We start from the raw sequence: 25701 nt of genomic DNA on the forward strand, positions 1-25701 counted from the left end.
TAAGCTCATTGACATTAAAAAAAATAAAGTAATACATTAATGGAAATTCAAATATTCCAATAGCTTTTTAGAAAAAAAGGACACTACATTTAATGCATTGGTGTACGATGTGACCCAATTTTAGAGAATGTGTGTGATGGTGGAAAATGCATCTTTAGAATTGATGAATTATGTTATTTCTTTCCAGACTTTTTTCTTTGTGTATTTTTAATGTAGTTGATATATACATATGTAAAATGTATATACTGTTTCTGCCCTTTTTCACTTAATATTATATAAACATTACATTAGTGCTTTTTAAAATTAATGATTATCTTTTTAATGTAACTTATTTAATTAAATAATATTTAAATATTACATTGTAATTAGCTTAGCCATTTTCCTTTAGTTGTTTCCAGTGTTTGCTCTTATAATTAATATTTTTTCCTAAGTCAAACTGCATCCAGCTTTATTAAAGATACTCTTCATAAACAATTATGATAGTCCAGGCAGGACATGGGCAGACAGTTGTTAACAGTATACAACAACGTTCAAACTTCCTCCTTCCGTGGACCATCAAAATCAGAAAGCCAGTATAAAAACCAATGAAATCTGACTAAAACACCAAAAGCAATGGCAACAAAAGCCAAAATAGACAAATGGGATCTAATTAAACTAAAGAGCTTCTGCGGGGCAAAAGAAACTACCATCAGAGTGAACAGGCAACCTACAGAATGGGAGAAAATTTTTGCAATCTACCCATCTGACAAAGGGCTAATATCAAGAATCTACAAAGAACTTAATCAAATTTACAAGAAAAATACAAACAACCCCATCAAAAAGTGGGCAAGGGATATGAACAGACACTTCTCAAAAGAAGACATTTATGCAGCCAACACACACATGAAAAAATACTCATCATCACTGGTCATCAGAGAAATGCAAATCAAAACCAAAATGAGATACCATCTCATGCCAGTTAGAATGGCAATCACTAAAAAGTCAGGAAACAACAGATGCTGGAGAGGGATGTGGAGAAATAGGAATATTTTTACACTGTTGGTGGGAGTGTAAATTAGGTCAACCATTGTGGAAGACAGTGTGGCGATTCCTCAAGGATCTAGAACTAGAAACACCGTTTGACCCAGCCATCCCATTACTGGGTATATACCCAAAGGATTATAAATCATTCCACTATAAAGACACATGCACACATATGTTTATTACAGCATTATTCACCATAGCAAATACTTGGCACCAACCCAAATGTCCATCAATGATAGACTGGATTAAGGAAATGTGGCACATATATACCATGGAATACTATACTGCCATAAAAAAAGATGAGTTCATGTCCTTTGTGGGGACATGGATGAAGCTGGAAACCATCATTCTCAGCAAACTATCACAAGGACAGAAAACCAAATACCGCATGTTCTCACTCATAGGTGGGAATTGAACAATGAGAACACTTGGACACAGGGCAGAGAACATCAGACACCGGGGCCTGTTGGGGGCTGGGGGGCTGGGGGAGGGATAGCATTAGGAGAAATACCTAATGTGAACGATGAGTTGATGGGTGCAGCAAACCAACATGGCACATGTATACCTAGGTAACAAACCTGCATGTTGTGCACATGAACCCTAGAACTTAAAGTATATACGTATAAAAAAAACCTATTGAAATCTTTATCTGATGTTCTGAGTAGGGAAAGTTTCAAGCGACGGTTGGCACTCCACGTTTAGCATGTTGTTTAACACATTTTTACAAGGAGACCCTGACTTTCAGGAAATGAAATTACAATGGCAGAATTTATCTGAAGATTCACAATCTACAAATGGAACTGCCACTTTTTCAACGGAGACCATCTCAGTGGCATCGCTGGAAAGTCCAGATTGCCTGACACACTGGTAACCAACTATTGGAGGTCAGGTCCCAACAGGTGTCTGCGTTTAAAGGAGTTAAGTCAATGCTGAAGGCAGAAAGAGAGAAAAGGACATAAAAGTTAATTTTGGTTTTACCACACCTCCAGGGTGTTTGTGCTACGGTGGCTATGTGTGTCAACATCAATAAATCCCTTCTCCTAGGAGCTGAGAGGAAGTCTCTCAAAACTAGAAGGGAAAGGTGTTTTCCCAACGTCAATCAATCCAGATTCAGAGACATTCTATTAGTGACATATGCCCCTCCCACCCACAAAAAAAAAGCGTTCTGTGTACTAACAACATAACTTTAAAAAAAGTAAAATAGGATTCTGCATTTTTATAAAACAATAAAAAAATAGCATTGAAACTTCCTTTGCAAAAATTGTAACAGTGAGAGAAATCTCACCTGACTCCAACTTGCTTCTAACCTCACATGCTAACTGCCTTTGCTCATTCCTGGACATAGGCCAAGCTAACTATGGGAGGAATTTAGTTTATAGTTTTGTTTTGCTTTGTTGTTGTTGTTGTTGTTTAAACAGAGTCTCATTCTGTCACCCAGTCTGGAGTGCAGTGGCGCCATCACAGCTCACTGCAGCCTCAAGTTCCTGGGCTCAAGTGATCCTCCCACCTCAGTCTCCCAAGTAGCTGAGACTCAGGCATGTGCCAACACACCCAGCTAATTTTTAAATTTTTTGTAGAGATGGGGTCTCACTATGTTGTCTAGGCTGGTCTTGAACTCCTGGGCTTAAGTGATCTACCCACCTCGATCTCCCAAAGTTCTGGGATTACAGACATGAACTACTCCACCCAGCCAGCCTATAGTTTAACTTTGAAGCAAGGATAATAATAGTCCCTCTCCAAACTGACCCCATCTGGGGAGTTAAACTGCCTTTGTAAGGCTAATGAAAGGCCACAAGGTTAAGATTATGGGGAGGACCTGAATTCTGCTAAAATGTGGGCATAGTTAAACAATAACCAGCTGTTGTTCCCTAGCTTGGTTTTTCTATAATTCTTTCCAGTTCAGAGGTGATGAAGCTAGAGATCACAAGATCTGTAACTTCCTCAGTTACTCCTATAGATAATTTACTATCGTGGAACCCGAAATTGGTCTTTGAGATGTTTTTCAGACTTTTGCATTCTGGCAACTAACTGAGTCCACCTGGACCCATGACTCATACCAAGGAACTAACTGAACCAGTCCTGTGACTCCCCACTCAGAGACTGACTCAACAAATAAAGACTGTTTTGGACACACCTGTGATTACATCTTCAACTAATCAGCAGCACTCATTCCCTAACCCCTGCCTGCCAAATTATCCTTAAAAACCCTAGCTTCCAAGCTTTCAGGGAGATGGATTTGAGAAATGTTTCCTGTCTGCCCACTCAGCTGCCTTGCAATAATTGAACTCTTTCCCTACTGCAACACTGCTGTTTCAGCATATGGGCTTTTCTGTGCAGCAGGCAAGAATAATCCATTGGGATGTAACAGTATTTCAAACTGTACAGTCACCAGAAGTACAGATTTATCAAAAATGCATACACTTCACTTGGCATCTCCAGCACCTTCAGCTTTCTGTGCCTTCTCCGTTCTGGCATCTCCATTTTCTGCAGGTTTATTCACCTCTTTGTCAGAGTTGGCTCTTCCTTTTTCCCCTTTGGATACTTTCTCTCCCTTTTTTGTAGGGGCCTTTTTAGGCTTCAGCTGTGGCTTTGGCAGAGCAGGCTTTCCAGACAACTTTGTGGATCTTCCCTGTAGTTTGTCCTTTATCTTGGCCTTATCTTCTTTAGCATCCCCTTCAGCCTTTCTCTTGGGCATGGTGGCAATGGTGGCTGCACACAGGTGCTGGCTGCAGGGATGCAGCAATGCATGGGGATACGGTGGCACACGGGCTTTGGTCAGCCTAGGGGGTCGTTCTCACCTCTTCTTCTTCACAGTGCTCCTATAATTAATGCTTTTTGCTTTTGAGATGGAGTCTCACTTTGTTGCCCAGGCTGGAGTATAGTGGTGTGATCTCAGCTCACTGCAACCTCCGCCTCCTGGGTTTGAGCGATTCTCCTGCCTCAGCCTCCCCAGTAGCTGGGACTACAGGCATGCACCACCATGCTCAGCTAATTTGTATTTTTTTAGTAGAAATGGGATTTTACCATGTTGGCCAGGCTGGTTTTGAACTTCTGACCTCATGTAATCCGCCCACCTCAGCCTCCTAAAGTGTTGAGATTACAGGCGTAAGCCACTGGGCCTGGCCTGACGGTCTTCTTAATTTCGACTAAACAATTATATTCACAAGACAATTGTAAGGGAGAAAAAATGCTTCCTTCTACCCTTCCAGACTCTGTGACTGCCTGAGAATTAAATTGAGAGGCAGATTAACAGGAGAAAAACAGTTTTAATTACATACATATTCATCGGAGTTTCACAAAAATATGAAACTCAAGGAAGCAGCCAGATGATTGAGACTTACATATCATCCTGAGCTACAGAAAGAAATAGGGGTTTAGAGACTTCTGTTGAGAGTGAGGCAAATCATGGGAAAGGGAGAGGAGGAAATGTGTGGTAAATAAAGTTTGCCTTATGCAGATAAGTCTCTCAGGTACAGAGAGTAGCTCTCTTTCTTGTATAGACATTTTTACTAATGAAAATTTCCTTTATAAATGTAAATTTCCTTTACAAAAGGGGAAATTTAGACTTTATTTTGGATAGTTGAGGCGGAGGTAAAGAGCTTTCCTGGAGTCAGTGGGTTCTCAGTTGCCTTTAGCTCAGAATAATCAATATGCCAAAATGGCATATTTGGGGCTGGCATATTCTTAACTTCTTCACTACCATAGGCTTCACTTGGCATCAGGTTCTCTTAGAAGGATATAGAATAGGAACCACAGCTTGCCAGAAGGCAGTGTCAGCTGTGGCTCAGCCAAGACAGTAGTCCTAGCAGCTTTCCGTGTAGCTGTCCACATAGCCATCCAGCAGAGTTGTCAAGTACAATACGGATGTCCAGTTCAGTTTGAATTTTAAATAAAATATATAGACTATATATATATACTATACAGTGTACATATGTATATATATACTCTCTTTCTCTCTGTATCTCTTTCTCTCTCTCTCCCCCACCCCATATAACATACATATACACACTATATATATGTATATAATATTTATATACATGTAATCCCAGCTACTTGGGAGGGAGTATATAGTATATATATACACTCCCTATAATATCTATACTTCCTATATATATGCTCCCTATATATATAGAACTATAGGGAGTACATATACACACACACACACACACACACACACACACACACTACACACTCCCTCTCAAGTAGCTGGGGCTACAGGTATATGAATGCCATATACATATTTATAGTGTGTGTGTGTGTGTGTGTGTGTGTGTGTGTGTGTGTGTGTTATATGGGGTGGGAGAGAGACAGAGAAAGAGAGACAGGGTCTTGCTCAATTGCTCAGGCTGGAATGCAGTGGCAGGATCATGGCTCACTGCTGCCTCGAACTGCTGGGTTCAAGCAATTCTCCCACTTCAGCCTTCCGAGTAACTTGTAATACAGGTGTGCACCACCACACCCAGTTAATTTTTTAAAAATTTTTTGGAGATGGGATCTTGCTATGTTGGCTGGTCTTGAATTCCTGGCCTCAAACAATCTTCCCACCTTGGCCCCTCGAAGTATTGGGATTACAATTTGAGCCACAGCACTTAGCCAAATATTTTTTTCAGTGTATGTTCCAGGTATTGCATGGGACCTGTGTTATTTATTTATTTATTGAGAGACAGTGACTATGTTGCCCAGGCTGGAGTGCAGTGGCTATTCACAGGTTTGAACATAGCTCACTGCAACTTCAAACTCCTGGGCGCAAGTGATCCTCCTATCTCAGCCTCCAGACTAGCTGGAACTTGTGAAGGGAAATTAAATTTGGGGACCCCAAACTCATTTAGCCAAAGGGAAAAGCGAAGCTGGGAACTGGGTCACACAAACCTGCTTGCCTCTTTTTGTTCCTAAATAAGATGGCTACAAGATGAAAAGCTACACGCCTCCCCTACATTTTGTCCACAAGGAAATTTCTGGTGAGCTGTTAAAACTTCACCATGGCAATGCAAATTGATAGCTTATCTTTACAGGTGCAGTCACCCAGCCCGTCAGACACAAATGCATATCTGATTATTCCCCTACCCCGTTTTGTCTGTGTTATCTTATGTAAAATGCAGATTCCCCACATTTTTCCTCTGCCCCTTTCGTTTATGTGAAAACTGTGTGCTTCTCAATATCCCGCCCTTTCCCCTTTAAATTTAGAGCCGTCAAAATCATCTTCAGAAAAAGGCATAGACCTGTCTCCCGGGCCTGTCCTTAACTTTGGCAAATAAATCTCCTAAAATGATTGAGACTTGTCTTGTCATTTTCCTAGACTGATAGACTACAGGCACGCGTCACCCCATCTGGCTGGACCTGTATCTTTATTCACTAAATCTGGCATTTCTAAACCAGAAGATACTTTCTTTGGCTTCCAAGTGACATCTCAGATGCAAGAAGACAAGATCCACATTGAATGGGTGTGGGACTACCCATTTAAAAATCTAATGCCTCGGCCAGGCACGATGGCTCACACCTGTAATCCCAGCACTTTGGGAGGCCCAGGCAGGTGGATCACGAGGTCAGGAGATAGAGACCATCCTGGCTAACACGGTGAAACCCCATCTCTACTAAAAATACAAAACCTTAGCTAGGCGTGGTGGCAGGTGCCTGTAGTCCCAGCTACTCGGGAGGCTGAGGCAGGAGAATGGCGTAAGTAAACCCGGGAGGCGGAGCTTGCAGTAAGCCTAGATCACGCCACTGCACTCCAGCCTGGGTGACAGGGAGATTCAGTCTCAAAAAAAAAAATAATAATAATAATGCCTCACATTAGCTACTATGTCTCTCTCTCTTTTTTTTTTCTTTTTTCTTTTTTTTTTTTTTAAGACAGGGTCTAGCTCTGTCACCCAGGCTGGAGTGTAGGGGTGTGATCATGGCTCCCTGCAGCCTCAACCTCCCGGGCTCAAGTGATCCTCCCACCCCAGCCTCCCGAGTAGCTGGGACTACAGGCATACGCCACCACACCCAGCTAATTTTTGTATTTTATGTAGAGATGGGGCTTCACCATGCTGCCCAGGCTGGTCTCAAACACCTGGCCTCAAGCGATGCTCCCATCTCAGCCTCCCAAAGTGCTGGGATTACAGGGGTGAGCCACCATGCCCGGCCAGCAACTATGTCTTATAAGAACTTCACAGACAGTTTTAGAGTCCTTCCAAGGGACATATTTGTTACAAGAGACACAGTACTCAGGGAATCTCAAACTAAAACCTCTTAACAGAAATTTATAGTTTAACTAGTTCAGATACAGTTTACCAATCAGGGTCATTTTACCATAAGTAGGTTGTCAAGCAACAAAAGTGACATAGTTTCCTTTCTCCTTCTCCTTCTCCTACTACAACTGACCCTTGAACAACACAGGTTTGAACTGCATGGGTCCACTTATATATGAACTTTTTTCTGCCTTTGCCACCCCTGAGACAGCAAGACTAACCCCTTCTCTCCCTCTTCTTCCTCAGTCTACTGAACACGAAGATGATGAGGTGAAGACCTTTATAATGATCTACTTCCGCTTAATAAAGATATATTTTCTCTTCCTTATGATTTTAATAATGTTTTTCTTTTTTCTAGCTTTCCTCATTGTATAAATATAGTATATAATACATATAACATATAAAATATGCTAATCAACGGTTTATGTTATTGGTAAAGCTTCTCATCAAGTAGTTAAGTTCCTGGGAAGTAAAACATTATACTTAGATTTTCAACTGTGTTGGGAGGTCAGCACCTCTAACCCCCAGCTTGTTCAAGGGGGAACTGTATTACTATGATCTATTTTTTACCCATAGAACATGTCTGACACCAAATATGTGGTGTTTTTTTTTTCCCATGCCAACCTCAAATTCTCCTTCTCTCCAGAAACCAACTGGGTATCCAATAATTCAATTGAATTCAATTCTGACACTAGTTACCTGGTGTTAGTATCAGATGGCACAGTTGAAAGGGCCCAGTCCCACAAGACTGCCCACAAGACTTCAGATGCCAATCACAAGCTGAGCCTCCCATACTTCTGTCTTAATGGCTATAAACTAGGGGTTTCCACAACCCTCTCCTCAGGTTCAATAATTTGCTAGAATGGCTTGTAAAACTCAGGAAATCATTATACTGACATTTAGCAGTTTATTTATAAATGATATTATAAAGGCTACAGATGAACAGGCAGAGGACAAGGTGTGAAACGGGAGATGTGCAGAGCTCCAGTGCCCTCCCTGGGCACCCCACCCTCTCGGTGTAACTGTAGCAGATCCATTGTCCCATGTGCACAGCAAGTCAGTAGGCAGAGACACCAGGGTGCAGCAGAGAAAGAGGTTTAATTGTAGGGTCTCCGAACTAGGAGATGGGAGGAAACCTCAACTCCATCTCCCAAGCAATCTGGGGCTAGAGATTTTGTGGGCTTTTTTTTTTTTTTTGCGATGGAGTTTTGCTTGTGTCGCCCAGGCTGGAGTGCAATGGTGCCATCTCGGCTCATTGCCACCTCTGCCTCCCAGGTTCAAGCAATTCTCCCGCCTCAGCCTCCAGAGTAGCTGGGATTACAGACTCCTGCCACCATGCCCAGCTAATTTTTGTATTTTTAGTAGAGACAGGGGTTTCACCATGTTGGCCAGGCTGGTCTTGAACTCCTAACTTCAGGTGATCCACTCACCTGGACCTCCCAAAGTTTACAGGCGTGAGCCACCGTGCCCGGCCTGGGGCTAGAGATTTTAAGGGTTTTGGAGTGGGCTGAAGTGTGAAGATCATTGATTGGTTGAAGAGTGCAGGGTAAAGTCATGGGACAGAAAGATGAAGAAGCTGTATTCTCATGCTGATTCCATTTCTCTGTGGGGGTCTTCAAACTGGTTGGTTTCAGCTGTTTCACTGGAGTTTGGGATCTGAAAACATCTTAGGCAACCTTCAAACAAAAGCCATATGATTCTAACGGCGGTGATCCTGTCTATAGGAATAATGGGGGTGCAAATGGGCAGTATCTAGTGCTATTGACTTTCAGCAACAAGGAAATGAGCCAAAGTGCAGCCTGATTAAGGCTTAATTATAACGAAATTTCTGCCCAGAACTCAGCATGAAATCCTTGTCAACCCTGTGGGGATGGCTTCATCAGCCGCTCGATGTGTTTTCCAACTCAGAAGCTCTCTGAAGCCCTTTGTTTAGGGTTTTTATGGAGGTTCTATTACATAGGCGTGATTGCTTAAATCATGGGCCATTGGTGATTTACTCAATCCAGCTTTTCTCTCCCTCCCTCGGGGTGAGTAGGGCTGAAAGTTCCAATCCTCTATAATCACATGTTTGGTTCCTCTGGCAACCAGTGCCCATCCTGAAGCTATCTATGGGCTTCCAGCCACCAGTCATCTAATTAACATAATTCATGTACACTCGAAAAGAGCTTGTTGAAAATAACAAAAGATGCTCCTGTCACCTCGATTGCTCAGAAAATTCAAAGAGTTTTTAGAAGCTCTGCGCCTGGAACCAGGGATAAAAACCAGCGATTTTAACAAAAGACGCTCCTGTCACTCCTATCACTCGGGAAGTTACCAGAATTTTAGAATCTCTGTACCAGAAACTGGGGGCCTGAAGACCCAATATGTATTTCTTACTATATCACAGTATCACAGTCCTTATTAGGTTGCCAGTGGAAAAGATGTAGAAAGTTAACCAAAAGTCAAATTTTCATGTAGGAGAGAAAAGGTTTTGCTAACACTTCACCCACAAGCTTCTTTATCAACAAAGTAACTCATCATTGGAACCTGTATGCTCTATTTATATTTTCAGTATACATTAGTTGGCCAAAATTTAGGTATAAAAGTAGGGATAGCAACAAAAAAAGAAATCATTTCTTCACTTCTTTTTTTTTTTTTTTTTTTTTTGAGATGGAGTCTCACTCTGTTGCCCAGGCTGGGGTGCAGTGGTGCAATCTCGGCTCACTGCAACCTCCGCCTCCTGGGTTCAAGCAATTCTCCTGCCTCAGCCTCCCAAGTAGCTGATTACAGGCATGCACCACCACGCCCGGCTAAGTTTTGTATTTTTAGCAGAGATGGCCATGTTGGCCAGGCTGATCTTGAACTCCTGACCTTGTGATCCGCCTGCCTTGGCCTCCCAAAGTGCAGGGATTACAGGCGTGAGCCACCATGCCTGGCCGAGAAATCACTTCCGTACCAGAGCAGTTTAAATGGATGTGCCTGGCAACCTACTGTAAACCAAAAATAAAACTCTAAGCCCCCTCAACCATCTGAATGGACCCCTCTTCTTGGCCAAGGGCATTCCAAAGTTGACCTGAGAAACTATTCCGGCCATAATGGGAAATGGGTGTTGAACATGCCTCATCCTACCCTCCTCCCTTTTGGAATTACTGATAGAATGGACTCTTTAAGTCTGATAAGAAACATTTACAATCTATTCTCTCTGAAGCCTGCTACCTGGAGGCTTCACCTACATGATAAAGCCTTGGTCTCCACAACCCCTTATCTTAACCCAGATATTTCTTTCTATTGATTCTAAGTCTTTAGACAATAACTAAACTCTTTCAGAGAAATAAAAGACAAAAGAAATAATTCAACAATATTACAAAGAAATGAAGGGCATGAATTCCCAATTTCAAGGGACCCATTGAGAACCCAGCATAACAGGCAAAATAAAGATACACACCAAAGCACATTATTATTAAATTTCAGAACATTGGAGACAGAAAGGACCTAACAGAGAGGAAAATAAAATCACTGGAAAGGATAAAGAATCGGAATGGTATCTGACTTCTCAACAGCGACTCTGGTAGTAGAAGTCAATAAAGAAATGTTTTTTAAAACAAAAATGTTTTTAAGTTCACATTTTATTTAGGTTGAAATAAGCTGTACAAAATTGGTATTTCTGACCAAAAATAACAGCCATATTTTCTATCATATTTATAGATAAACCACAAAACACTTATTGTAGTCAGTTTTTCAGGTTTTGATTTTAATCTAGATAAGGAAGTAGACATAGTTATGAAAAAAGAAGAGAACAGACACATCAGCTGTCTGTATCCAGGGCTTCTGATTCTGTCTTGACCATGAAACTAAAGTGTTCCACATACACCTGATGAAAAGCTTACGACACAGGAAGACATCAGCTCAACAAAGGAATGCAAATAGCAACAAGCAGAAGGAGAACAATGATGCCAGACTCTTCCATTCAAACTTGTTCTTCTAGGATCACTTGATAAAGATCAGACCTACAATGCCACCCTTGTTGGGTGAGCTCACTGCTTCTCTCACTCTCTGGTAATTCCCATAACTGTGCATTAAAGGGTTTTTTTTGTTTTTGTTTTTGTTTTTGTTTTCTTTTGTTTTTGAGACTCTGTCGCCAGGCTGGAGTGCAGTGGTGTGATCTCGGCTCACTGCAACCTCTGCCTCCTGGGTTCAAGCGATTCTCCTGCCTCAGCCTCCCTAGTAGCTGGGACTACAGGCATGTGCCACCACGCCCAGCTAATTTTTGTATTTTTAGCAGAGATGGGGTTTCACCATGTTGGCCAGGATGGTCTCAATCTCTTGACCTTGTGATCGGCCCGCCTCGGCCTCCCAAAGTGCTGGGATTACAGGCGTGAGCCACTGTGCCTGGCCGCGTTAAAGGTTTTTAACAGTATACTTAAAAGTCCTACCAGTGAAAGGTGAGTTGTAAGATTCACTGTGACATTTTATGAAATGTATTCTTTCCTCCTACACCTACCCAAAATTTATTCCTTCAAAGTACTGATAACTAACTTAACTTCAAAGTACTGGATCCACAGTGATACTAAATGCTGTGTCTGAAATGATTTTAAAACAATTCTACCAGCCTGAGCAACAGGGCAAAAACCCATGTCTACAAAATATACAAAAGTTAGCCAGGAATGCTAGCGCATGCCTGTAGTCCCAGCTACTCAGGAGGCTGAGGTGGGAGAATCGCTTGAGCCTGGGAGATTGAGGCTGCAGTGAGCCCTGACTGTGCCATTGCACTCCAGCCTGGGTGACAGAGCAAGACCCTGTCAAAAAATAAAAAAATAAAATAAATAAATAACAATTCCAGAGTGCCAGCACCAGAGAGTATGCAGAAATGGAATTCGGCACTTGTACGTCTTCCATTTTTTCCCATAGAAGGAAACTTACTTAAAACATCCTTTTAGGGTCGGGGGTGGTGGCTCACATCTACAATCCTAGCACTTTGGGAGGCTGAGGTGGGCGGATCACTTGAGGTCAAGAGTTCAGGACCAGCCTGTCCAACATAGTGAAACTGCATCTCTACTAAAACTACAAAAAACTAGCTGGGCGTGGTGGTGCGGGCCTGTAATCCCAGCTTCTGGGGACACTGAGGCAGGAGAATCACTTGAACCTGGGAGGCGGAGGCTGCAGTGAGCCGAGATTACGCCACTGCACTCCAGGCTGCCCAACAGAGACTCTGTCTCAAAACAAACAAACAAAAAATAAAATTAAATAAGCATCCTTTGAGGTATTCTTACTGATTTCTGAATCACTTGTAGGAAGTTCTTACTTGCTGTATAGTTTGATATGTGCACCTACAGTTAAATCCAGATCATGTTTTATATCAAAATTTATGTTAAGTAAAACCAAGTTATTTAACCTTTGGTCTGTCAAAGTTTTCCTCAGCTATAATTTGAGATGCTTTCATTTATTTTCATAGTGCTCATTCTCAATCTTCATTATAGGAAGAATACACAGGACTTTCAACAATGTGTACACATTAGGGAGTTTTACTGATGTCAGGCAGACAGAGGGCTTCAAAAATGCCAATAGAAGCTCTGCCTCTTTCTGTCTGTGTTTCTACTTGATTCTCCAACAATGAAATTGGCTGAGAGCATGTTCAGATTGGCTCAGTCACTTCAGTAAAAGTCAGCTTAGTGTTTCTCCGATGTGTCAAATTTGAGCTGTCCCATGACAGAAGGTGCCAGAGATCAGCATTTGCGAGCTATGAGACCCTGTTCTGAGAATAAATCTTCAAGTTCCAGAGTAATGCGCTGCACTGTTGGAACACACAGAGATTCCTTATAGTAACTCTCAGAGGTTAGTTGAGATTCTAGGTTACCTTGCTGAGCTCTGCAGAATTTCCCAGAGACTTTTATTTGAATATCAAGATTGGTTATCAAATTCATGCCTTCCCCAAATTCATGATAAGTTTTAATATTTTCCAATACTTCATTAGTGATACGATACCACCATGAAGCTGCTGGCTGCAAAGAAAACATCAGAGATTTTCCCCTAGAGATTTTTTTCCCAAAGCCTCTTGTAAGATAAGACATTTTTAAGAACATTTATAAAAATGAAATCAAGGCCGGGAGTGATGGCGCTCACCTGTAGTCCTAGCACTTTGCGAGGCCAATGTGGGAGGATCACTTGAGCCCAGGGGTTTGAGAGCAGCCTGGCCAATCATAGTGAGACTCTGTCTCTATTAATTAAAAAAAAAAAAGAAAGAAATTAAAATACATTAATGCACTGCAGAATACAAATGCTCAGCCAGCTACACAGTTATGTCATCTGAGACTTGTCTCACTATTTATATATTTATATCTCTAAACATAAAACAAATGCTGGCAGGAGATCCAGTAAAATTTCAAAAGCATCATGTCTATCTGTCCATTGAGAATGAAAAATTGCCTTCAGTTCATTATTCCTTTCTTTGTTGTTCTGAGAAAGGACAGAAATTACATAGTCAAGTCCTAAAAGTAGTTGTGGTGAAGAATGAATAAAAGAACAAACTTCCTCAGTCCTTCATAATACAACAGATATCCCCATAATAGGCACTGATTTTGCCAACCACATATTTAATTTTTAATTTTTTAATTTTAATTTTTTATTTGTTGAGACAGTCTCGATCTGTTGCCCAGGCTAGAGTGCAGTGGCACAATCTTGGCTTATGGCAACCTCCGCCTCCCGAGTTCAAGTGGTTCTCCTGTCTCAGCCTCCCCAGTAGCTGGGATTACAGGCGATTGCCACACACCCAGCTAATTTTTATATTTTCACGCCCAGCGGGGTTTCACCATGTTCACCAGGTTGGTCTCGAACTTCTGACCTTAAGTGATCCTCCCGCCTCGGTCCCCCAAAGTGTGGGATTACAAGCGTAAGCCACCATGCCTGGCCTGCCAACCACATATTTAAGGCACAGGAAGAGCAGAATGTGTAGATAGTTTGGGGATATTTCAGTTAAAAATCTTGAAGCAGCAACCTCCATTTTTGAAGAAAATCTATTGGCCATATTGTACATCTGGCCACAACAGCACTCCACATTTAGCCCCACTTCCCGATTTTTGTAGTGTGAGATCACACAACCAAAATGTCTGCTTCAGCTTCACAAGGAAGACACTCACATATTTCTCTGTCGGGTAAGAGACTCATCAATAAACCTCTCCACTCCGGGCTGGTGTTCTTTCTCTGCTATGTCCACCACAGCATCAGTGATCACAGAAAAGAAGTATGATCCCTCACTTCCTGGGGCTTTCTTCCCAAAAGCAGCTCTCACAGATCTCTAGCAGCTGTTCCTGCTGTTTTCCAACAGAACAGCTGGAAAGACGCTGTTGCCTCAAAGGGTTTTCTCAGGACCTTGTCACCAGAATTTATCTGGTACCTTAGCGGTGTTTGAAAGATATCAGGAGTAAAGAGATATTCCCAGATTTAATCAAACTCATGTGCATCCAGAGGTAGGTTTTGTTTTCTCAAAAGAATAAACATTTAAATAAAGATTTTTGGTATTATTTGTTTTTCTTCTCTTCAGGGATTAAAAGTAAAATGTTTTCACCTTGTTCCTCACTCTCTTTTACTACATTGAGCTTCTGAGTCTTGCTGTCGTGTGTTTCTTTATGTTTTTGTTCCTGTTCAGAAGTTTTATCAATATTTTTTGTTTTAATTTTGTTTCAGTGTCCTGATTTCATCTTCACTTAATTCTTTTTGATTGACTACTACACTGGAGTGTTTTTTTATTCATCTGAACAAGATATTACAAGTTCCTTTAAATAGATGACATTTGAAAAGCATAAATTGGCTTCTCTGCCCACCCTCACCCTTCAACTGTCAGCGTATCCTCATTCTTCTTGGATGCAGGACAAGAGTTCGGGTACGAGTTATAATACAGGTGGGCTGTCTGCTGGGGCGCACCCGGTCCAGCCTCCTCAGGCTGAGCCGGTATGCAAGCCAGACTTGGCTGGGGCAGACCAAGTGGGTGGGGTGCCTCCAGCAGCAGGTAGCATGGCCAACGGAGGTCCAGGCTGGGGAGTGGTACGTCGCTGGCCGGAGATCCCGGCTGGCAAAGTGACCAAGAAAAAAATATTGTGTCAATATCATCTGGAGGTAAGAAAATATTACACATTCACAGACGCATAAAAGTATATCCAGACCCAGATAGAAAGCTTACAGTTTTAATTTTAAAATTTTAACCAGTTATATTTCATCCAAGCAGAAATACAAAAATCACTGAAGCAATTCTCCCCCAATTGAGTACAAATTCTTAATAGATTTGATTCAAAAAATACAAAATAGACAAACAGGAAAAAAGGAACAAACTGCTGTTTTTCACCTTCAGAGACAAGATTTCTATAAACCATTTAATTAGTTAATAAAGTCCACCAAAAAATAAAAATAAAAAACAAAAAGCATAACTTGTTTTTGAAAAAAAGGCATAAATATTTTCAATTGAATTATTTGACTCCAACTTTCTTTTCTGAGATTTTTAGCCTTCTTTGTGTGCTCTTAGATTTTTAGTGAGTCCCTGTTCTAGTTATCTATTGCTGCAAAACAAACCACACTTCTATACCTAGCAACATGAACACAACAATTTTATTATCCTTATGGAATTCAGATAGGGCATGGTGTGGATGTTTTGTCTCTGCTCCATGATTTCCAGGGCCTCAGCTGGGACGACTCAAATGCTGAGGGGTGGCTTGAAAGGCTGGAAATGGAACCATCTGGAGCCTTCTTCACTCACAGATCCGGTGCCTGGGCTGGGATGACATGAAGGCTAGGCTTAGCTGTGGCTGCTGACCACAGAACTTGCATATGGCCTCTCTCTATGGCTTGAGCTTCCTGCAGAATGTTGGCCAGGCTCCAAGAGGGAGCTTCCCAAGAGAGAAGGTTCCCAGAGATCCAGGCAAAAGCTGCATGGCCTTTTATAGCCTAGTCTCAGAAATCACAAAGCATCTCTTCTTCCACACTCTGTTGCAGGGATCAGCAAACTATGGCCCAATGCCAAATCCATCTGCGATGTCTTTTTTTAAAATAAAGTTTTGTCTGGGTGTGATGGCTCACGCCTGTAATCCCAGCACTTTGGGAGGCTGAGGTGGGCAGATTATGAGGTTAGGAGTTCAAGACCAGCCTGGCCAACATGGTGAAACCCTGCCTCTACTAAAAATACAAAAATTAGCTGGGCATGGTGGCGTGTGCCTGTAATCCCAGCTACTCAGGAGGCTGAGGCAGGAGAATCACTTGAACCTGGGAGGCAGAGGTTGCAGTGAGCCGAGATCGCACCACTGCACTTTAGCCTGGGCAACAGAGTGAGACTCCATCTCAAAAACAAGAAATAACAATAAAATAAAAAAATAAAGTTTTATGGGAACATAGCATGTTTAATCATTTATGTACTTTCACACTACAATGGCAGAACGAATTAGTTGCAGTAGAAATCATATAGTTTGCAGTCTAAAATGTTTGCTGTCTGGCTCTTTACAGAAATAGTTTGCAGAGCCCTGCTCTATTGGTTAAAGCAATCACAAGCCTGCTCAGTGCCAAGGGGAAGGAATAGACCCCACCCTTGGTGGGAGGTGTGTCAAAAAATGTGCAGTCATTAAAAAAAAAAAGAATCACCACACTTCCTGTTTGCCTCATATTTTTATTCTTGTTTGGTTTTTTAACTTTGTAAGCTACTTATAAGAGCTCTTCTAACTATTTGAATGTACGCTAAAGTCATTTCGGTTAAGAGAAAGTTAAAAAATGGAAGTCAATTATGTTATTTCAAGTTGTAGTCTTTTGAAACTTCCCAATGTCAGCCCCTTTAGGTAAATATTTGGTTAATAATTCTTCCAAAGAAAGGTTAGAAAGGTTAACTTTTGTTCAGAGTTAAAGGACAAAGAAGACCTTTATTTTAGTTCCTTAAAAAAAAATAGTTCCTTAAAAAAAAGAAAAGAAAGAAAAAAGGGCTGGGCACGGTGGCTCACGCCTGTAATCCCAGCACTTTGGGAGGCTGAGGTGGGCAGATCACGAGGTCAGGAGTTTGAGACCAGCCTGACAGACATGGTGAAACCCCGTCTCTACTAAAAATAGAAAAATTAGCTGGTCAAGGTGGCACGCTCCTGTAATCCCAGCTACTCGGGAGGCTGAGGCAGAAGAATCACTTAAATCCAGGAGGCAGAGGTTGCAGTGAGCTGAAATCAATCCACTGAACTTCAGCCTGGGTGACAGAGCAAGACTCTGTCTCAAAAAAAAAAAAAAAAAAAAAAGTAAATGGTAAATGGTAAACACTTGTTGAAACAGTTAAGCCTCTCACCTGGTCAACAAGTTTCAGGTTATATAAATCATTCCCTATTGATGAACATTTTTATTTAAACATGCTATATTGGTACTATTTTAATTAAATCCCCAATTTCCTCATCTGTACAGTGAAGGAGTTGAGTAGGCAGTGGTTTTTAACTCTGGTTACATATTTAAATCATGGGAGCCGAGACCCCATCCTAGATAATCAAATAAGACCTCTGGAGATGGGGCCACTACAGATTTTAAAACCTCCTCAAATGATTTTAATATACAGCCGGGGCAGAGAAATATGTGGCTAGGTGACTGTAGGCTCTTTCCAGAGGGTGAAATTCTGTGAACGTAAGGGCGATGTGAAAATGGGAAATTTTCCCATATTTGCTGCTTATACTACTAAGAACATTATTTGGAATGACTGTTTGTATGTTTTAATACAGTAACCAGCATGACTTCAACATCTCATGGTCATTTGAACTACCTGAGTTAGCCAGAACCTAAGTCAAATGTTTCAATTTTCACATATCTTTTGATCTACTAATTATTTCTGTCATTCTATACTATACGTTTACTCTGAAATAGACCCTGTGTTTTATTTGTTCGTTAATGAACTGCTACTATGGCATCATTTTCGGTATGACATTGACATGTGTCTGTAAATACGTATTAACATTGTGTTTCTCGAACAAGTGTGCCCTTACATCACTTGGGGAATCTTGTTAAAATTAAAATTCTTATTCAGTAGATCTAGGGTGAGAATCTGGCCTAAGAATCTGCATTTTTTTTCCCTTATCGTTACCTACAGAGGATCTGCATTTCTAACAAGCTCCTAAATTATGTTGATGCTATCTGTCTACCATCCATGCACTACAGCTTGCGCAGCAAGGCATTAACAGATCCATCCAGACTGATGTAACTCAGAACTGCAAGTCAGCCTCAGCATTAATTGAGGAAAAGAATAGGGTCACAGGAAAAAGAAGGGGTGCTAGAGTCATTAAAAATTTTTATGCTTTGCATAATGGCACCTCTTTTTTTATTTTTTAAAAGAAATAACCCATTGAGAAAACTATAGAACTTTGTCACTGGTTCTTTCCATAGGTTTCATCAATTATTTTCTTCAGCCGTGTGACACCTGTCGTCTACAGTATAGGCTCATGCACTGGATATTTCTAAAGGCAGATTTAGCAGCTGAGAGCCCATTTCATTAGTATGATATAGTGGGAAAATGCACTGGACTGGATTTTAGAAGACCTGAGTTCTTGTCTTTATCACTTTTTGATTGTGTGACCTTGGGCAGGTCACTTAATCTCATTGAGCCTCAGTCTTGTCTTTAAAGCTAGGCTAGTAATCCCTGTCTACCATACAAAGTATTAAGAAGAGCAAATAAGATAGCTGTGAAAGTGCTTTGTAAATTACAAAGTTACTTAGACGTGTAAGTTATTATCATTATTGTCCATGTGGTACTGACTGAAGGCCTACGTGTAAAAACACATTGGCTCTTGATGCTGTTAACCCTCAACTTCCTTTATCAGTAGAAGGAGGTTTAGCAAGAATTAGATGATGAATAAGCCACATGGAATCTTTCTCTGTCTGGGTTCAAAGAATGAAAGAATCAAAGAATGAAAAGATGGAGTCTTAAGAGTCAGAGAAAGGCAGGGCTTGGTGGCTTATGCCTGTAATCCCAGCACTTTGAAGAGGCTGAGGCAGGCAGATCATCTGAGGTCAGGAGTTCGAGACCAGCCTGGCCAACATGGCGAAACCCTGTCTCTACTAAAAATACAAAAAAATGAACTGGACATGGTGGCATGAACCTGTAGTCCCAGCTACTCAGGAGGCTGAAGCATAAGAATCGCTTAAACCCAGGAGGTGGAAGTTACAGTGAGCCGAGATTGCACCACTGCACTCCAGCGTGGGTGACAGAGCAAGACTGTCTCAAAAAAAAAAAAAAAAAAAAAAAAGAATCCTGGGGAGAAATGGTTAATTCAAATTTCCTTATTCATGTGTATTATATACTTGACCATTGTTTCCTTTCCAATTCCTTGTCTGGCATTGGAAAACACCAGTGATGTTGATGGGAAGGTCTATGCAACTGCTTGTGAATAAAAGCCAATTTTGAATTAAAAAAAAAAAACAGAAGAAAAAACCAGGTTTCTCTGATCCGTTCACATAACTCAGTGTAGAGGAATAGTTAATACCATGTCTTTCCTTCACTCTGTAGAATGCTTGCTGTAGACTGGTAATTTACTATCATGGTTATTGAGCAAACAAAGAGGCTTGGCTTTCATTACAATAGAGGAAGAAAAATACTGGTGTGGAAAGAAACATATTTGGCCAGGAGCAGTGACTTATGCCTGTAATTCTACTACTTTGGGAGTCTGAGGTGGGAGGATCACTTAAGCCCAGGAGTTGGAAACCAACCTGGGCAACATGGGGAAACCCTGCCTTTACAAAATATACAAAAAATTAGCTGGGCATGGCGGTGCGTGCCTGTAGTTCCAGCTACTCGGGAGGCTAACGCGGGAGGATCACTTGAGCCTAGGAGGTTAAGGCTGCAGTGAGCTGTGATCGCGCCGCTGTACTTCAGCCTGGGTGACAGAGTGAGACACTGTCTCAGAAAAACAAAAGGAAAGAAAAAAACTGATTTAGCTTTTGTGGTTGGATAAAAAGTCTACATGATGAGATAGCTAGTGAGTCCATAAATCATCTCAGGGTGGTAGTCTGCAAGTGGGAAATTGAGTTAACTTTCTTGTGGGTATGGCAAATAGCTTTTTAAAATTTATTTATTTATTTTTTGAGACAGAGTCTCGCTCCGTCGCCCAGGCTGGAGTGCAGTGGCGCGATCTCAGCTCACTGCAAGCTCCGCCTCCCGGGTTCACGCCATTCTCCTGCCTTAGACTCCGAGTAGCTGGGACTACAGGCGCCCGCCACCACGCCCGGCTAAATTTTTTTTTGTATTTTTAGTAGAGACGGGGTTTCACCGTGTTAGCCAGGATGGTCTCGATCTCCTGACCTCGTGATCCGCCCGCCTCGGCCTCCCAAAGTGCTGGGATTACAGGCGTGAGCCACCGCGCCCGGCCGCTAATTTTTTTTTATTAGTTAACCTCAGATATTTTCATAAACACGTTTCAGAGTCCCCCAGACTCTGTTCTGGATGAATATAGAAACTTTTTTGATAAGTTTCTTGTAAGAAATTTCCACAATGGCAGAAATTCATCCCTACTGTTCAGTTCACCTGAGGCCGGTGATCCACTACCTGATTTTCCAAATTCAGGTTCCACACTCAAATAACTTGCTCCTTCTATCTCTGGGGTTGTTTCATGAGCAGAGCAGCCAGTGTTCTTCAATCTGTGGTTGCCCACATCCTGACCCTGATAATCTTTCTTGTTAGCAGACAGAGATGCCTCTACTGACCTGTGCATACATTGCAGACTGATACTCTCTGAAATCAACCCATGATGGCTGGTGACTTTGCTATCATTGCAGGAAGTGTGATGGGTGCTTTGTGTATTTTGTGATAAGAACGACTTGTTAAGCTTTGAGTGAAAGCCAGAGCCTCAGACACCGTTCCACTGAGAAAACTTGAGACTTCTAATATAACATATCAGGCATGTGATATGGTTATTTACCTGTCTTTTCCAGAGTATTGAATCTGGAACATGTATGTAGGAATTTCCTTACCAGTTTTAGTTTTAACAAGCACTTTTTTTTTTTTTTTTTTTTTTAGAGGTAGGGTCTTACTTTGTTGTCCAGGCTGGAGTGCAGCATTGTAATCATGGCTCACTGCAGCCTCAAATTCCTGGGCTCAGGTGATCCTTCCACTTCAGCCTCCCAAGTAGCTAGGACTGCAGGCATATGTCACCACATCTGGCTTTTTTCTTTTCTTTTCTTTTCTTGTAGAGACTTGATATGTTACCTCGGCTGGTCTCTAACTCCTGGCCTCAAGCATTCCTTCAGCTTCTGCTTCCCCAAGTATTGGGATTACAGGTATGAGCCATTGTGCCCAGCCTTAATAAGCACTTTGACCCTTTGGGGAAGACCAAGGTAAAAGCATGAGAACCCCAGGAGAATTTCCTATTGAATTTCTAGAAATAAGTACCCTAATTATGGTGTAATTTTCATCTAATCTAATTTATCCCTGGGAACGTTGCCTGAGTATGACCAGCTATTCTTAAGGAAGCCTGACTTTCTAGTGCAGTGTATTCCAGAAGCCACCATCATAAGGATGTTAGAGAACCCCTTCAGTATCCTTGGCCCGCCATTCAGTCCGAATTTTAGGGGGAGGCTGGGGAGTGCTAGTCTGTCCGCAAGCTTGAGGTTGGCTCAGGGATCTCTTAAACCTTCAGAGTAGACCCAGAGGATTGGCCTTTGGTTAAGAGGTTCTGTTTGGTCTTGTGTTAGCTATTAAAGAGAATTCCAGGGTGACAGTATATCGGGTACTCTAGGTTACCCGAGCATTTTTTTCCTTTAAAGAATTCCAGAGCATTCAGTTTGACTCAGAATATTTGGAGCTTAATTAAAGCAAAAGCAGACCTTTCCTGGGGTAGCCGTGGGCTAGAATAGTTTACCCCATCTCCACCTCTGTCATCCTGCAGTCTCCTGAAGATTCACTGAGGTTCAATGTGGGTTACCCAAGGACTTATGTACGTTCCAAGGATGACGAAAGATGCAGAGCCAGCTGTAGCAGTGCTTATCTTTAATGCCACTAGTTAAATTTTACGCACGCCGTGGCTCATGCCTGTCATCCCAGCACTTTGGGAAGCCAAGGTGGGTGGATCACCTGAGGTCAGGAGTTCAAGACTAGTCTGGCTAACGTGGTGAAACCCCGTCTCTACTAAAAATACAAAAAATTAGCCGGGCACGGTGGCACTCGCCTGTAATCCCAGCTACTGGGGAGGCTGAGGCAGGAGTATTGCTTGAACCTGGGAGGCAGGGGTTGCAGTGAGCCCAGATCGCGCCATTGCACTCCAGCCTGGGCAACAAGAGTGAAACTGTATCTCAAAAAAAAAAAAAAAAAATTTTTACTCTACCCAAATAAACAGAATAAACAAGCATCACTGTGCACCATTTGTGAGGTCAATATTCCCATTGCCTAAAATAAAACTTCACTCTTGCTTGATATGCTGATACTAGGAGGGATATGACAAGGCTCAGATATACTGGTAGGGGATACTTCAAGAAAACGTATTGAAATAATGTCTTTTAAATTTTATAAAATAAAATAAAGCTTGTCCATTTTTTTCTGTTCTTATATTTATTGAGCTCAATCCCAGTTTATTTTCAGAAGTCATCTCAGACATAGTAGTGGGTGCCAGAGCATTCCCACCAACCAGGAATTCCATGTATATATGGATGTATTTATCTCCTCCCTTACCCACTGTACCTTAGAACCAACCAAGAATTTCAGCATAATAAACCGATCTTTATCACACTGTCCTTGTAGATTGACTTCAGCCTTTAAACTGACTGTACTTTGAGCCCTTACCTTATCAAAACGGATTTACCTAGAAGTGGAAGAGTCCAAATTAAGGATAAAAAGTCAGCCAATGGTAAAGGAATATAGTAGCTTCCACATCCCACTTCACATTTGCATCCCATTATAATAAAATGGTTCTTTTTTGACACAGCCCCTCTGACATTTTGACGTATTCTTCTTTGGGTAGAGTCCTCTCTTTCTATTATTCCTAGAATAATCTTCATTTTTGTCAGATAATGGGCCCTGAATTTTACTACATTTTTTTTTTTTTTGAGACGGAGTCTCACTCTGTCGCCCAGGCTGGAGTGCAGTGGCACGATCTCGGCTTACTGCAAGCTCCGCCTCCTGGGTTCAGGCCATTCTCCTGCCTGAGCCTCCCGAGTAGCTGGGACTACAGGTGCCTGCAATTACTCCCAGCTAATTTTTTTGTAATTTTAGTAGAGACAGGGTTTCACCACATTAGCCAGGATGGTCTCGATCTCCTGACCTTGTGATCCACCCGCCTCGGCCTCCCAAAGTGCTAGGATTACAGCGTGAGCCACCGCGCTCAGCAATTCTACTACTTTTTCCCAACTTTAATGTATAGGGTATTGCAGGGTTTTCTAGCTGAGTTGTTTGTAAGCCCATTGACTCTTAACAGTTTTCAGAAAATGTGCAATAAAAATAATTTCTAACACTAACAATAGCAAGGCACAGAATCTCCTCGAAGCTGCAACCAATGCAGCATCAATCCTGTCCTCCAGCAGCTGAGATACTGGGGACTGAATTTCTCTGAATAAGCTTGTCATCCATCAGCATCTGTCTCATTATAAGAATAAACATCTCTCTGGAGTAGAAGAATGGGCAGGAAATGAATAACAGTACTCTTCTATAAGTAGTCTACCTGCAGAAGCATACAAAGGTGCATCTATACCAGCCTGTGTTAAGAGTAAAATATGGAAGAGAACAACATAATCCCCTCCAATGTGGCATAGAAGCCACACAGGATTGTTTCGATGTGAAGACAGATCTCAGGGTTTCTTTCTGCCTTGATATTTCTGAAGCCTATGTTGTTAAAATTAGCTTTCTTAGTCTCTTTTTCACTATTGCTATTGTCTCATTAAAGTAGCTTGTTTGTAAGAGTCTTGCAGAGTCCACAAAAAGCCTAAAATTGCTGTAGCACAAATAAATATAGAAGTTATAGTAAAATCTAGAAAACTACCTAGTGTATTGTAATTTCTTAAGCTGTAAGTAATTATTAGTAACGAAGGATTTATGGGATTCGAGAAGATGGAATCTCACAAATGCCAAACCAACTGTTTGATTTCACAGACAAGATTGATGGCAACTGGGAAGTTAAACTTTAATTATAGTGAGTAATTTTATTCTTCCGTATTTTAGCAAAGCTTCTATAAAAAGGCTTACTAATTTGAATTTTAATTCTTTTCCTTGTTTCAGGCCTGCTGAAGGTGATAATGAGCGCCAAAATTTTCACAAGTAAGTAGAGGGCAAAGAGAAAGAAAAAAGGAAATTGCCACAGCCCTGATAGCCAGCTCTTTAGAACTGATAATACATTCCTTTCCTAGTCAATCCATTCCTTCCCAGAGAATTGGGGATTCTATTGGCTTCAAAAGCATCACATGATAATTTTCAAATTTATAGGGTAAGAAAAGATCAGTTTCCCTAGACTGCCAATAAAGGACAGAGTTGCTATTCTTATCTCTGGTCGTTTCCCATCCCTTGATCTGTGTTTTTCTTAAGTATTTTGCATACAATTAAGATGATAGAGAGGCTTTGGGTGAGAAGAACAAAACTTCTCACTTATATTTTCTCTTTTTCAGGTAAGAACAGAAGTCATCACAACCTTTGTTCTCTGTAGATTCGCCAATCTGTACTCCATTGGGATCATGTTAGAAGACCTCGGTGAATACATGACCAAACTCCCTACTTCTCTTTTCTCCTTTTAAACCTCTGTAGGAATACAAACAATTTTAGAAATGAGAATATTTAGTTATGGAAAAAGTGAAGACCTTGGTGGGAAGTTTGTTTCTATAGAATGAAAAGCATGAATTCTAAATTTATAAAAATTAGTAGGAACCGGAGCTGGACGCAGTGGCTCACGCCTGTAATCCCAGCACTTTGGGAAGCTGAGGTGGGTGGATCACATGAGGTCGGGAGCTCGAGACCAGCCTGACCAACATGGAGAAACCCCATCTCTACTTAAAATACAAAATTAGCTGGGCGTGGTGGCATATGCCTGTAATACCAGCTACTTGGGAGGCTGAGGCAGGAGAATGGCTTGAACCCAGGAGGCAGAGGTTGTGGTGAGCAAGATCACATCCGTGCACTCCACCCTGGGCAACGAGAACAAAACTCCGTCTCAAAAAAAAAAAAAAAATTAGTAGGAACCAGGGAAATAGAAATAGGAACAGTGTGAATTCCCTATAAACTTCGTAATCAGATGAGTATAGGATTTGTAATGGAAAGGTGGAACAAAAGGATGTTTCTTAAGAATACATGTTATTCTTCATTGAAAGTTTTTGTTTGTTTGTTTTTTGGTTTTTGGTTTTTGTTCTGAGACAGGGTCTCGCTCTGTTACCCAGGCTGGAGTGCAGTGGTGCAATCTCAGCTCACTGCAACCTCCACATCCTGGGTTCAAGCAATTCTCCCACCTCAGCCTCCTTAGTAGCTGGGACTACAGGCATGTGCCACCAAGCCCAGCTAACATTTTTGTATTTT

At 41.5% G+C, this 25701-nt stretch overlaps 1 protein-coding gene, 1 long non-coding RNA gene and 1 pseudogene across 2 annotated transcripts, besides 1 other annotated feature; 1 reads left to right on the plus strand and 2 right to left on the minus strand.

Annotated features, from left to right (window-relative positions):
- Positions 1-2685: 2685 nt before the first annotated feature.
- LOC107984732 (non-histone chromosomal protein HMG-17-like) lies at positions 2686-3922 on the minus strand. The gene has a single exon (XM_047433406.1). It carries the CDS (start codon positions 3716-3718, stop codon positions 3446-3448), a length of 273 nt encoding a protein of 90 aa, XP_047289362.1. The 5' UTR covers positions 3719-3922; the 3' UTR covers positions 2686-3445.
- Positions 8594-9524: an enhancer, noted in NCBI's record as "NANOG hESC enhancer chr15:45618460-45619390 (GRCh37/hg19 assembly coordinates)". NCBI's record gives its function as "activates a minimal SCP1, AML or CMV promoter by ChIP-STARR-seq in primed H9 embryonic stem cells {active_cell/tissue: H9 hESC(primed)}" and the evidence as "EXISTENCE:reporter gene assay evidence [ECO:0000049][PMID:30033119]".
- LOC100533853 (THAP domain containing 12 pseudogene) lies at positions 14139-14956 on the minus strand (annotated as a pseudogene).
- LOC124903482 (uncharacterized) lies at positions 14915-25103 on the plus strand. Its single transcript, XR_007064609.1, has 3 exons — positions 14915-15108; positions 24421-24459; positions 24804-25103. It is a non-coding gene; the product is annotated as an uncharacterized LOC124903482 (long non-coding RNA).
- The last annotated feature ends 598 nt before the right edge of the window (positions 25104-25701 follow it).

Source organism: Homo sapiens, chromosome 15, assembly GCF_000001405.40.
Source record: "Homo sapiens chromosome 15, GRCh38.p14 Primary Assembly".
Classification (NCBI taxonomy): domain Eukaryota; kingdom Metazoa; phylum Chordata; class Mammalia; order Primates; family Hominidae; genus Homo; species Homo sapiens.

What these genes read in the sequence shown, in the direction of transcription:
- LOC107984732 (XM_047433406.1), bottom strand. Translation starts at nt 3,718, where the DNA reads ATGCCCAAGAGAAAGGCTGAAGGGGATGCTAAAGAAGATAAGGCCAAG.